Source organism: Homo sapiens, chromosome 22 (assembly GCF_000001405.40).
Source record: "Homo sapiens chromosome 22, GRCh38.p14 Primary Assembly".
NCBI classification, from domain to species: domain Eukaryota; kingdom Metazoa; phylum Chordata; class Mammalia; order Primates; family Hominidae; genus Homo; species Homo sapiens.
In genome coordinates, this window is record NC_000022.11 from 33589168 (window position 1) to 33603034 (window position 13867).

The 13867-nt window shown below is 41.8% G+C and overlaps 1 protein-coding gene across 22 annotated transcripts in view; it reads right to left on the reverse strand.

The window, feature by feature from the left end:
* The window catches only part of LARGE1 (LARGE xylosyl- and glucuronyltransferase 1), an 856162-nt gene that overhangs the window by 522505 nt on the left and 319790 nt on the right, over positions 1-13867 (reverse strand). The window lies entirely within an intron of this gene.

A 13867-nucleotide genomic window follows, 5' to 3' on the forward strand; every position in this document is an offset into this window, starting at 1 on the left:
AATTCTTGTTTCCACCACTCCACAGCTAAGAAGTCTTGGTCTAGCTGCCTCTACTCTCAGGTTCCTCCTCTGTAAAAGATTATCACAGCACTAATTTCAAGGATCTGTCATGAGATTTCAATGAGATAACACTAAATGTTTAGTACTATGTCTGATACATGATAAGTGACAAGTAAATGTTGGCTATTGATTTTGATTACCATTTTGCAAATTTATATTGTTGTATACCTTTACTCATTGTTCTGTTTATTAATATTTCCTCCATTGTTTTATTAAATTTACCAGAGGTTTGCCATCTTCTTATATATGGAAATTAATTAATTAAAAATTAATATTTTCATTAATTTAAATTAATGAAAATTAATATTTGTTTACTTTTCTGTTTATTATTTTTCTTACTTCACAGAATTCTGCTGTGAACTCCACTTCCCTTCTGCTTTCCTTAGGGACACACCATTGTTCATATTTCAATTACTGCATGAAATGCAAGATTCATTTATCATTACCTTTGTTTTTGAATAATGAAAGAAGTGGAGGCTATTAAAATATCTCCAGTGACAGCTTTGGCCACATTCCATAAACTTTACTATGAAATGTTCCTCTTCTGTTGATACCAAAACAGACTATAATTTTAGTTTTTATATCCTTTTGGATTAAATAGCATTTAGGAAGAATCTTTACCCTCCTCTAGTTTCCAAGAAGTTTGAATTTCCCATTTAATAGTTTGTTTCTGATATGTAGTTCCGCTGCACTGTGGTCAAGAGTAGGGCCTGTGTAATTTTTATGGTATCTATCATTTGTGTAATTTTTTTGATGAACACTTCACTCATTTTTATTCCATATGATAGGCAGTTCAATAACTACTGATATTATGTTTTAAAAATCATTTCTGTCATTAACAAGATGATTCATCTTTCTTTTCTGTGGCCAAAGCTCTCCCAACATATATTTCTATCAATTTTTGTTTTGTGCTTAGTATATCTGGAAGTTTTCTACTTGGAAAATAACTCGGCTATTCTATCCTCTTATGGGTATTAAACTTACCAATTTAAAATTATTAGTTGTACCTAATTAAATATATTTTATTGTATTTGATTTAGTCTAAAATTAACACACTCACACCATATTGCTATTTAACCAAGAATTAAAGTTGTTATCCAGTAATGGAAGAGTTTAAAGCATTTACGTTTATTAAAGTAATTGATGTTTGATTTTACTTCTGTGATAGTATGTTTATGCATTCTTCGAGAAAAAAATCTTACATCATCACAATTCACCTCTTTTAAACGTACAGTTCAATTTAATAAATGTATACAGTTTGCAACAACCACAGCAGTCACTTTATAAAACAATTTGATCGCCCTCGAAAATGCCCTGGTGTCCCTTGCTAGGCAGTCCCACCACACCACCCTCTGGCTCCTATTAACTCTGTCTTGCTTTCAAGAATGTCACATCAATGGAACCATTTACCATGCAGTCTTTCGGTCTGGCTTTCTTTCACTTAACATCAAACCTTCTCACTGGCATTGCTGTATGTGCCGTCAGTTCATTCCTTCCCACTGCTGAGACATACCACAGCTGTTTACCAGTTCTTCAGCTGACAGTCAGTGAAGTCCTATGAATAAAGCTGCCACGAATATCCACATACAAGTTTTCCAGTGGACATAGGTTTTATTTCTCTTGGTTGAACACCTAGGAGTGGAACCACTAGGTCATATTGTGAGTTATGTTTAATATTTTAAAAAGCTGCCAAGGCCGGGCGTGGTGGCTCACACCTGTAATCCCAGCACTTTGGGAGGCTGAGGCGGGTGGATCACGAGGTCAGGAGTTTGAGATCAGCCGGGCCAATATGGCAAAACCCCGTCTCTACTAAAAATACAGAAATTAGCTGGGCGTGGTGGTGGGTGCCTGTAATTCCAGCTATTCGGGAGGCTGAGGCAGAAGAATCGCTTGAACCCGCGAGGCGGAGGTTGCAGTGAGCCAAGATGGGGCCACTGCACTCCAGCCTGGGCAAAGAGTGAGACTCTGCCTCAAACAAACAAACAAAAAAGCTACCAAGCTGTTTTCTGAAGTGGTATACCATTTTTCACTTCCATCAGTGATGTCAGAGAGTTGCAGCTGTTCCACATCCTCACTGACACTTTGTATTGTGAGTCCTTTTAATCTTAGCCATTGTAGTGGGTGTGAAGTGGTATCTCAGGATGGTCTTTAATTTGCATTTCCCTGATGACTAATGATGTCATTATTGATTTGCATTTTTCAGGGATTCATTGGCCACTCCATCTCTCCTTGGCTGACATGTCTCTTAAAATATGTTGCTCATTTCTAAATTGGGTTGTTTTCTTATTATTGGTGTAAGACCTCTCCATATATCCCAGATACAAATCTTTCATCAGATAGATGCTTGGCAAATTCTTTCTTTCAGTCTGTAGCTTATCCTTATAGTTTCTTATTAATGTCTTTGCAAGAACAAAAATCCTCAACTTCGATGAAGTCCAATTTATCAATTTTTTTCTTATTTAGTGTGTGCTTTTTATGTCTTATTTAAGAAATCTCTCTGCCAGGCATGGTGGCTCACACCTGTAATCCCAACACTTTGGGAGGCCGAGGTAGCAGGACTGCTTGGGCCAGGAGTTCAAGATCAACACGGGCAATATAGCAAGACCCGTCTCTCCAAAAAAAAAAAAAAAATTTTTTTTTTTTTTTAAATTAGCCAGGCGTGATAGCATGTGCCTGTAGTCCCAGCTACTCTAGAGGATGAGGCAGGAGGATTGCTTGAGCCCAGGTATTTGAGGCTGCAGTGAGCTATGATTCTGCCACTGCACTTCAGCCTGGGTGACAAAGGGAGACCCAGAGAAAGAAAGAAAAGAAAGGAAAAAAAGAAAGAGGAGAGGAGAAGGGAGGGGAGGAGAGAGGAGGGGAGGGGAGGGGAGGGAAGGGGGACAGAGGGAGGGAGGGAGGGAGGAAATCTTTGCCCAACTTGAAGTCCCTATAATTTTCTTTGTTTTCCTCTATAAGTTCTACAGATTTAGCTCCCATATTTAGGTGTTAAGATTCATTTCAAGTTAATTTTTGTATGTGGAATGAAGTGAGGAGCAAGATTAATTTTTTCCCATGTGGCTATCTAATAGTTCATTTTATTATTATTATTATTTTTTTCTGTCTCATCTTCTTTGCTTCTTACTTAGGCTTTATTTCATTTGAAATAATCATCACTAATAAATTAGATCTAATTCTACTTATTTCATTGGGGTCATGTCTGAGCTTTGCAGAAACACCTTACCCTTTTTTCCAGGATAATCAAAGTAAAGAGTTAAAAGATACCACCTAAGTTACCCCACAAAATCCACTATATTTAACAGCTTTTAAACCCAACTCATACTCTCCAGTGTGTTTTAAAATGGCTGTGATCAGCTTATTATTTGCGTATGTTCTGAAGACAAATACTTTTCGGCATTTGCAATCAGCCTTGCAACTGACTTAAAACAATTATTTACATATCACTCTATGTGTAACTCTGTACACACTGTCTGCCCCTTTATAACAATACCTTTTCATTCCTGAATATTCATTTTGATCACTTTTTTGGGTGGCTTGCAAAGAAGCTATAGTTTCTTCAAGAACAATACACTTGTGTATATTTTCTTTTTTTTTCTGTTTTTGTTTGTTTGTTTGTGTGTGTGTATTTTTTGAGACGGAGCTTGCTCTGTCACCCAGGCTGGAGTGCAGTGGCGTGACCTTGGCTCACTGCAAGCTCTGCCTCCCAGGTTCACGCCATTCTCCTGCCTCAGCCTCCCGAGTAGCTGGGACTAGAGGTGCCCACCACCACATCCGGCTAATTTTTTGTATTTTTAGTAGAGACGGGGTTTCACCGTGTTAGCCAGGATGGTCTCAATCTCTTGACCTTGTGATCCGCCCACCTCGGCCTCCCAAAGTGCTGGGATTACAGGCGTGAGCCACAGCGCCCAGCCTTTTTTCTGTTTTTAAAATTTTTTTAAGTCTATTTATTTATTTTGAGACCAGGTTATGAGACTGGCTAATTTGTGGATTTTCTTGGTAGAGACGGGGTTTCGCCATGTTGCCCAGGTGGGTCTCGAACTCCTGGGCTCAAGTGATCCACCCACCTCAGCCTCCCAAAGTGCTGGGATTACAGGCGTGAGCCACTGCACCTGGCCTATTGGTGTATATTTTCTGAGTTCCTGCAAAGCCTATCATTTTTTTTCTGTTGCCTTATTAACATGAGAGAACTTGGTTGGTATTCTTGGGTCTCTGTCTATTTTGCTCAAAACTCTGCAGACATTTTATTTGGACACCTACTCTCACAGCACAGAAGCTGAGGCGGGATTTTTATTCTTCCAAGATAATAAGCTTGTCTCCACCCTCTGCCCTGGTATTACCACGTAGTGTTAAAAGCCAAGTTCCATACCTTGTCCACAGCCATCAACAACCATATGTGTTACTGAGCACTTAAAATACGCAAGTCCAAAGTGAGACGTTCAAAATATATACCAGATTTCAAAGACTTAATATTTACAATCTGTAAAATATCTCAGTAATTCTCAAAATACTGATCTCAGGTTGAAACGATACTATTTTGGATAAATAAAATTAAATGAGATGTATTATTAAAATGTATTGCACTGGTTCTATTTTGCTTTTCAGAATGTGACTACTGGAAAATTTAAAATCACACAGATGAGTTGCTGTTTTATTTCCATCGGGTAGCGCTGCTCAAGAGTCAGACTACCCAAAATTCATGTTTTGGTTCCACAATGCATTCGCTGAGTAATCTGAACAAGTCTCTTTCCTAAGCTTCAGTTTCCTCGCCAGGAAATGGTAGGGATAAAAGAAGATTATGCAAGTTAAGCATATTAGGTTGGCAAATAATCAACTCTTAATAATGGGAATTACTATTCCTAAAAGAAGGATTGTGTTTTAATCCTTGCAATTCAAATAATTTTCTAGGGTGTACACTAATGTGGGCAACTTATCACTGATTTTACCTTAGTTGTCGAGGCTCCTTTTGATCTGCAGGTATACAATTCCTTTTGGTGCTTGACAATTTTCCTTGAGTTTCATCATCCTAGGGATGAAGCAGCCAACACCCTGGGCCTTGCAGTATCTAGAGCCCATAGTTTTCATTAACTTTTTCCAACAACACCTCAGCCACTCAATCCCAGGCTAACATGCCAAAAAAAGAACCCCAAAAAGGGCCTCATCGAAAATACCAAATCTCTAACATCTCACTCCTCAACTCTAGCCTTTTATCCTTTCATAACATTTGGACAAAGACTCTGTGCTCAGTGCAAATTTCCTAACCTCATCATAATTTCCAGTTTACCCTGCCCATTGCTTTCTCATTATTTGTCAAACACCTCTGGTCTTTCTTGTTTTGATCCCAACTCCGTCATTATAACCACACTCTTGAATCAATGAAGTTTTTTGTTTTTGTTTTTTAGATGGAGTTTTGCTCTTGTCGCCCAGCCTGGAGTGCAATGGCGCAATCTCAGCTCACTGCAACCTCCGCCTCCTGGGTTCAAGCGATTCTCCTGCCTTGGCCTCCCAAGTAGCTGGGATTACAGGCACCCACCACCATGCCCGGCTAATTTTTGCATTTTTAGTAGAGACAGAGTTTCACCATGTTGGCCAGGCTGGTCTCGAACTCCTGACCTTAGGTGGTCCACCTGCCTCAGCCTCCCAAAGTGCTGGTATTACAGGCTTGAGCCACCATACCCCGCTGAAGTTGTTTCTTAACAGAAGTTTCTGGTAGGTAAGACTTGTGGTGCATGAGATAGCACTGCAGGGAAGGCTCACAAGAACGAGATTCTGGCATCCGCTCCATCCAAATGCTGCTCTCTTTAGCAGCATTTGGTTAATTCTTTTGGCAAATTCCTTAGAAATAAAACATAATAAAACACATGTCCTCTCTGTGGCATGGAGTTCTTGGGAGGACAGAATGAAAGTAGGTATATGAAAGCACTTCTCTCTCTTTTTTTTAATTTTTATTTTTTGTGGGTACATAGTAGGTGTATATATTTATGGGGTACAAGAGATGTTTTGATACAGATAAAGCATTTCCTTATCAGTTAAATGAAGTATGAATGAGAAGACCACAATAAATAAGAATGAGAAGGAAACAATGCTCAGGATGAGAAAAAAGGTGAGTTGGGACACTTCACTGCTTTTAAATGAGTTTAAGACTCTGAGCTCAGACCAACTGTAGCTCAAGGTGGGGCATGTCACATATGCAGATCTAGACCAAGTGCTGTGATTTGCAGAACCACAGAGAATGTCTCTGTCTATGGGATGGAGACACAATGGGGAGCACATTTAAGCAAGTCAGCAACCTGGAAGGCATTTATTCCACAAGCAGGTCAGAAGACATGTTTTAAGGGTCAACTGTCACCTAGGCTCCATACACTGTCATTTCAGGTACAGTTGAAGAAATGTAGTAGTGATTACTGAGAAGAAGAGAGGACTCAGTAAATGTGTCAGGTCTTCAAACAACTGGTTGATGCACACTGTGTAGCTCAAAACATAGAAGCCAGGTATTTGCTGGAGGCCAGGATTGGCCAGATTTTGTCCAAATCTGGCCATGCCCATGCCAAAGGCTGGGCATGAACATAAATGTTACAGACCTTGCCCTCTAGGTTCCCTCTGTCTAGTAGAGAAGGCAGATGAGGGAACAGACAAATGGTACACAGGCTTGCACCTGATCTTCATTAATGCTCAGGTGGACCAATGAGGAGAATGAAAAAGATGAAGATTTCAGTAAGGCATAAGGCGAATATTTCTAATAGAGTTTCTAAATATGGAACAGGGTCCTTTGGGAGGTAATGATCTCTTATCTCTGGAAGTATTCAAAAGCAGAAGATTAATGACCATTTGTATAGAATATTATAGAAGAAAGTGGAAGGTTATGCTAGATGACTGCCAAGTTCCTTTCTAATTAAGATTCTATGCTTCTCAAAAGGGGACAAGAACCATTCATTAGAAGACTGTTAAATAAAGAAAAATCTGCCTGTGTAAAAAGTGAATTGAACAAATGACATAAAAAGATTATTTTATAATGCAGATTAGAGTTTGCATTCATTGTCTAAAATTTTCTATGTCCAACATTTCACAGTCAAACATCAGTCTTATAAATACACAAAGGTATGCTTTCAAGTGCTTTATGCTTTTCCATGTCCATTCTGTGATCTTGCCCTCATTGTGTGAGACAGAAAAGCCCATGACAGAGGCCAGAGGTACACTGCTGACCTTGCAGAACCAGCCTTCGTATTCAGAAACCACACAGATAATCCAAGAACCAATAAAACAATAAAGAAAATGGGAAAGTGGTAATTTTTCCAGACCTGCGCATAATATTTAACCTCTGTCACCCTGCCGAATAACACAGGACCACAAAGGAAAGAAGGAAGAAGAGCATACATCCATCAACTATTCTAGAAAAATAAGCCAAAATGTAGACCCTCTGATGACAGGTCGGCAGTCATTGTTGGAGGAGAAGAGGAAGGGTTGACATGGTGGGCTTAGAAAAGATTTAAGAAGTTAATTACAGTCATCTTTAAATATATGAAAGGCAGCCACATTAGGAACAAAAAGAAGAAAGCAAGATTTGTTGAGTGCCTATTATGTGCCAAGCATTGCTTTCCATTACAAGTTCTCATTTAACTGCAATCAATCTTCACCAATAAAGGAGAGCCAGAAATACCCATTTTGATAGGCTATTTATTCACCTCTGTCCATTGCTCTGGGTATTAACACATTATTAGTGAACTGGGGGATTCAGAAGGCCACACACACCTTACTTCATTTCTCATGTTTCTGCAGGACATCCCAGAGCAGATAATGCCCTTCCATGAGACATATCTATGTCTTCTCTCTTTCTTCTGCAGGTCCAGCTTCACTGGAGCTGCTCCAGCCTTATGAGAGCATTTCGTCACAGCACCTGAAGTTCAACCATTGTTAAGTGTGGTCCCCACTGAACTATAAACCAGGCCCAGCAGCCAGAAAACCCAGATCCCATTCTGGGAAAAGCTATATGTTAGAAAGAAACATATGTGATCTCTTGTTGGGCAATTCAGTTGCACTTCTTGGCCTAATTCATGAAAAAAAAAAAAAAAAAAAACTTGTAAGTATTAAGCCTTCTTCCCACCCTAGAATCCTATGATTTCATGCTCTCTTCAGTCTCTCCCAGAAGAAAATGTCCAGTATTCAGGAAGCATAGCTTCCCAGGAAACAGATAGGGTAGCAGCAGTTTACCCACCCCCTACATGACAGGAACAATGAGTCTGCCTCCTAAAGGACGGCAGGGGGCTGGAAGATTACAGTTCTCTAAAGACAACCTCTGCCATCCTCCATAGAGACCAGCACAAAGGCAATTAAGGATGAGTAGGAGGCCAGTTTTTAGAGTCCACCATCAATATTTTCTGCAGCCACAGTCCTGAATCTCACTTCATCATCTTTCTGATGTTGGTAACAAGCGGGCATTGGGTCTAAGAGAAAAGGAGAAAAATTAGGGCTCCCAGCTAGACAGGTGAATCATGAAACAGCCACTGCCCTGCCGCTTCCCTTCCTGAGCTCGGGATCACGCGCACCCCAGTGATGGCATGGGGGTGACTTTCTGGGCCAGCTGGAGCAAGATCAAAGGCTGGTAGACATGTAGGGCCTTGTCTGAAAACTGGCAAGAAATGTTTTCCTGATTTAAAGCCAACTGTCTAGAGTGATGACTGTTAGTTTAGAACAGGATCCTTGGATGGAAGTGACAGAGCCATCCCCCTCCTCAGCAGCATCCTTAGAAGGGCTCCCTTTCATCCCCTACAGGAAGTACCATTCCCAGCAGGCCTTCCATGCAGGAGCCATGCTTAATATACTGGTTCTTCAGGAACACCCAGAGAAGGAACCTGCCCCCATCAAAAGCTCAGAGAGTCCTTGTCTAGACACAATGACAGTAACTTAGCTGAAATAAGCCACAGAGAGGGAAACAGGACATAGGAGAAAGGGCACAGATACTGGAGTCAGACAGTTCTGGATATTCATCCTGGCTCTGCCATGTACCGGTTACATGATTTGTAGTTAGTTAACTCCCCTATGCCTCAGTTCCTTTGTATGTACAATGGGAATAATAACAGGACCTAGTCCATAGAGGTGTTGTTGAGAAACAGACCATGAGAGAACCATGTAAAACATGAGAAATGAAGTAAATGATTCTTTATTATTATACTTTAAGTTATGGGATACATGTGTAGACCATACAGTTTTGTTATATGGGTATACATGTGCTATGGTGGTTTACTGCACCCATCAACCCATCATCTACATTAGGTATTTTTCCTAATGCTATCCCTCCCCCAGGCCCCCACCCCCTGACAGGCCCCAGTGTGTGATGTTCCCTTCCCTGTGTCCATGTGTTCTCATTGTTCAACTCCCACTTATGAGTGAGAACATACAGAGCTTGGTTTTCTGTTCTTGTGTTAGTTTGCTGAGAATGATGGTTTCCAGCTTCATCCATGTTCCTACAAAGGACATGAACTTATCCTTTTTAAAGGCTGCATAGTATTCCATGGTGTCTATGTGCCACATTTTCTTGATCCAGTCTATCATTGATGGGCATTTGGGTTGGTTCCAAGTCTTTGCTATTGTGAATAGAGCCACAATAAACATACATGTGCATGTGTCTTTATAGTAGAATGATTTATAATCCTTTGGGTATATACTCAGTAATGGGATTGCTGAGTCAAATGGTAGTTCTGGTTCTAGATTCTTGAGGAATTGCCACACTGTCTTCCACAATGGTTGAGTAAGTGATTCTTAAACAACAGATGTTAGACCACAGCCTGTGGGATCCAAAGCCATGGAAAAGAGGAATTTTGAATTCAAGTGCAACTCAACAGTGGTAACCAACAGTCATTCCCCAGGGGCTGTGGTCCATATCTTTCAAATTCCCTTAAGATCTCCACTACATCCATGTCTACTGAATTATACAATCCTCTATCTCATACCATTTCTTTTGGGAAGGGAAAAGTCAAATATCAGCGTCAGCACTTGTTAGCAGTCTAATCTTAAGCAAATGCTCTTCAACCCCACACTTTAACTTAAGTGAGGTGGAGGTAATCATACTTATCTTTCCAACCCCCAGGGTCATCATGAGAGATGAGTGACAGCACGCATCATTGACAAAGCTCTACGCAAAAATAAGTTTTCCTCCTGTAGACAGGAGCTGCATGTTTTGAGTGAGTGGAGTTCAGAGCAGAGGTACCTTCAGTCCTGGTAGCCTGTTGGTACCAGGAGTTGGAGGCCGGAAACAAATGGGCCATGTAAACATTGGGAAGACCAATGAGCATTTCACAGGCCATAGAGATAGGCAGGCTGAGCCATCACTATTTGCAAATCCCCACTAATTGGTCATTACAGAGAGAAGTGTACCAGTCCACTGCGAATTTCCCACAGTTCGTTTTTAATCATGCACCAATCCCTCACAAATGTCCTGTTTCCTATTACTTCATTCTACAGCACTAACAGATATCATAAGGGGCCCACAGGAACATTTCTGAGAAATGCCATTTCCAACAGCTGTACAAAGTGATTTCTTGGAGCTGTATCAAGGGAGGCCGTCACGGGTGTCTGCTGAGGGTACCATCTGACATGCTTCCTGAATGCAACTGTGGAACACGGCGCAAGTCCATTTCTCTCCTGTTCTTCCTCCTTCCCTAAGGTCGTCTACTGGATGGTGTTTTAATGTGTTTCCTTCCTAGCATACCTGTCATGGAAAGACACTCACTCACCTGTCCCAGAGCTGCTCTTAGGAGGTGGGCTGGTGCAAATGTTGCTGCCTTATCTATGCGACTTCAGGGTGGCTGGTGGGCAAACTCCTGGCTACCCACACAAGCCTCTGGGACACAAATAGGCATTAGGAATGTGGTGACCCTGGGCTCTACAGTGATAAAGAAACGTGAATTCCTGGGCCTGACCGTGATAAAGAAACTCTGCCATCGGTTTTATTATTCTTAGGGACCCAGCTCTAAATTCATTGTGTATCAGTCATTCAGTAAACATCTTTATAAGCCAGTCATTTAGCAAGCATCTTTATGAGTTTTAGCACACATCTATAAAGCTTCTTTTAAAAATGTTTAGCAAACATCTTTAAAAGCCTCACGTCAGGCCTTTGGGATACAAAGGTGGTGAAAAACAGACGTGATCCTGGTTTGGGAGCTTACGGTATAGGAGATAGACATCTATTAGCTCATCACACAAAAGCATGAAAGAATACCCTCTGTGTTGAGTTTACTGAAGAAATGTATGTGATTCTAGGAGAACATGTAACAAAGCAACCCCTATGAAATGATAAAGACAGGGAAAGTTTCCCTGAGTACACGTAACTTTAGCAAAAGAACTTGTTATTCATTAGCAATGGGGGAAAGGAAGGAGGTTGGGCAACAGTTTAATAAATAGAACGCTCTGGTGGGAAAGAAGGAGCAAAATGAATCTGCAGGACTGGAGAGTGAGGAAGGACGCAAGTGGTGCAAGAACAACTTGGAAGGAGGCAGGAGCCAGCGTCCGCAGAGAGATGTGACTCGGTTAAGAACTGTGGCCTCAGCCGGGGGCAGTGGCTCATGCCCGTAATCCCAGCACTTTGGGAGACTGAGGTAGGCAGATCACCTGAGGTAGATGGATCACTTGAGGTCAGGCGTTCGAGACCAACCTGGCCAACTTGGTGAAACCCCGTCTTTAATAAAAATATAAAAATTAGCTGGGCCTGGTAGTGCACGCCTATGGTCCCAGCTACTCTACTCAGGAGGCCGAGGCAGAAGAATCACTTGAACCCAGGAGGTGGAGGTTGCAATGAGCCGAGATCACGCCACTGCACTCCAGCCTGGGCGACAGAGCAAGACTCTGTCTGCAAAACAAACAAACAAACAAAAACTGTGGCCTCTAGCTCAGAGCAGTAGGAAACCAGAAAAGGTTTTACCCAGAGGAAAAGAGTGGCATGACTGCGCTTGTTTTTGGAAAGCTGACTTTTGCTACTGAGAGAAAAGATATGGGGGAGGAGAGGTGAGCAGTGGAAGGAAGAGACTAGTGTGAAAAACACTTGCCATTGTGCTGGGGAAAGATCACAAAGCATGGACTAGGTAGGTGTAGGGGAGGTGGAGCCACGCTAGGGTGTGATGTGGTTAGACCCAGGGCAAGAGAAAGGGACAAAGATGAGCTCTCAGTTCCAGAACAGCAACTAAGCAGATGGTGATGCCACTACAGAGGGGCTGTCAGGCTGGTGGAGTAGGCAGATCATGGCTTTGGGGTTGTTGATCCGGGTTATGTATAAACTAAAACATAGACAGACTAATAGATCATGGAGTCAGACAGGCCTGGGTTTTCATCCTGGCTTTGTCATGAACCACAGTTACTAGTATTATGAAAAAATTACGTTTTATAAATACTTTCATACTGTTGTACTGGATTCTGACAACACTCTCATGGGATTCAGGAATGTGAGAGAGACAGGTGGTTAATTGGTAGGGGAATAAAAAGCAGGTGTCAGGAAACTTTGATGAAGTCTTCGATAGTAGACATCGGGTTAGAGGACAGGACTCTAGAGACAATATTCTTTTGAACGTATCAGATTGTATTTTCTAAATTATTATTTTTTAAGCCATGAAGTATTTATTTCGGATGTATATATATATAAAGCCAGCACGTAAAATAATAGACAGTTGGTCTCCCTGGATTAAAGTAGGCCTGACAGAGTCAGAGCATCAGTGTTTCCTCCCCTTCTCCCCTTTCATCCGAGACCTCATGGAAGGGGCTTCCAGGAGGGAATTCCAGTCCATGGTACCTTACTCCTTCAACTTCTTAGCTGTTGATGGACTTCACAACCGGCCACACCACCCGAGTGCATTTTAAGTCATTCTGGCCTTGGCTACAAGTGGAATGAAGCATTTTTAAGAAGCTGTCATGTCGTGTACACTGACCCATCTTATTTCACCCCTTCCTTTGTGGCTGACTCAGTCCCAAGCCATCTGAGAGCTGAGAGAACCAAGGTTCAAAACCAGTTAGAGAATTCTTCGGCGGTAAACCAGGATTTGAAATTAGTTTTTTCCCAATCACTTTGTATTTTCTTTTTCTTTTTTCCGTTTTTTTTTCTTTTTTGAGGAAAAAAAATGATACAATCATTTAGCCATGATCTTACCACTGTGATTGTACCACATCATAATGCATACCACTACAATTGTACCACATGCCAGCTCTATCACCCAGGCTGGCATACAGTGGTACGATCATAGCTCACTGCAGTCTTGAACTCCTGGGCTCAAGTGATCTTCCTTTTTCAGCCTCCAGAGTAGCTGGGACTACAGGTGCAGTCACCACATCCAGCTAGTTTTTTGTAGAGACACGCATCTCACTATGTTTCCCAGGCTGGTCTCGAACTCCTGGGATCAAGTGATCCCCCTGCCCTCAGCCTCCAGAGCAGCTTAGACTGACTACAGGTGTGTGCCGTCACACTTGGCTAATTTTTAAAATTTTTTTGTAGAGGTGGGGGTCTCACTATGTTTCCCAGGCTGGTCTCAAACTCCTGGGCTCAAGTGATCCTCCCCACCTCAGCCTCCTAAAGTGCTGGGATTACAGGCATGAGCCACTACGCCCAGCACACTTCGGTGTCTTCTTACAAAGTAAAGGGTGCAGGCTCACAGGGGACATGGCACTGGACTCCTACCCAAAGAAAGGTAAATGGTGAACACAGCGGCAGAGGCATCCTTCGGAACCAGCTGCTGCTCCTCCTCCCATGTTGCTTTTCCCCCATGGTGTTGGCGCTAAGACCCTGGGAGACAGAGTGGCTTGCTTTCACCTTAATTAGCGCAGCAATTTGCTA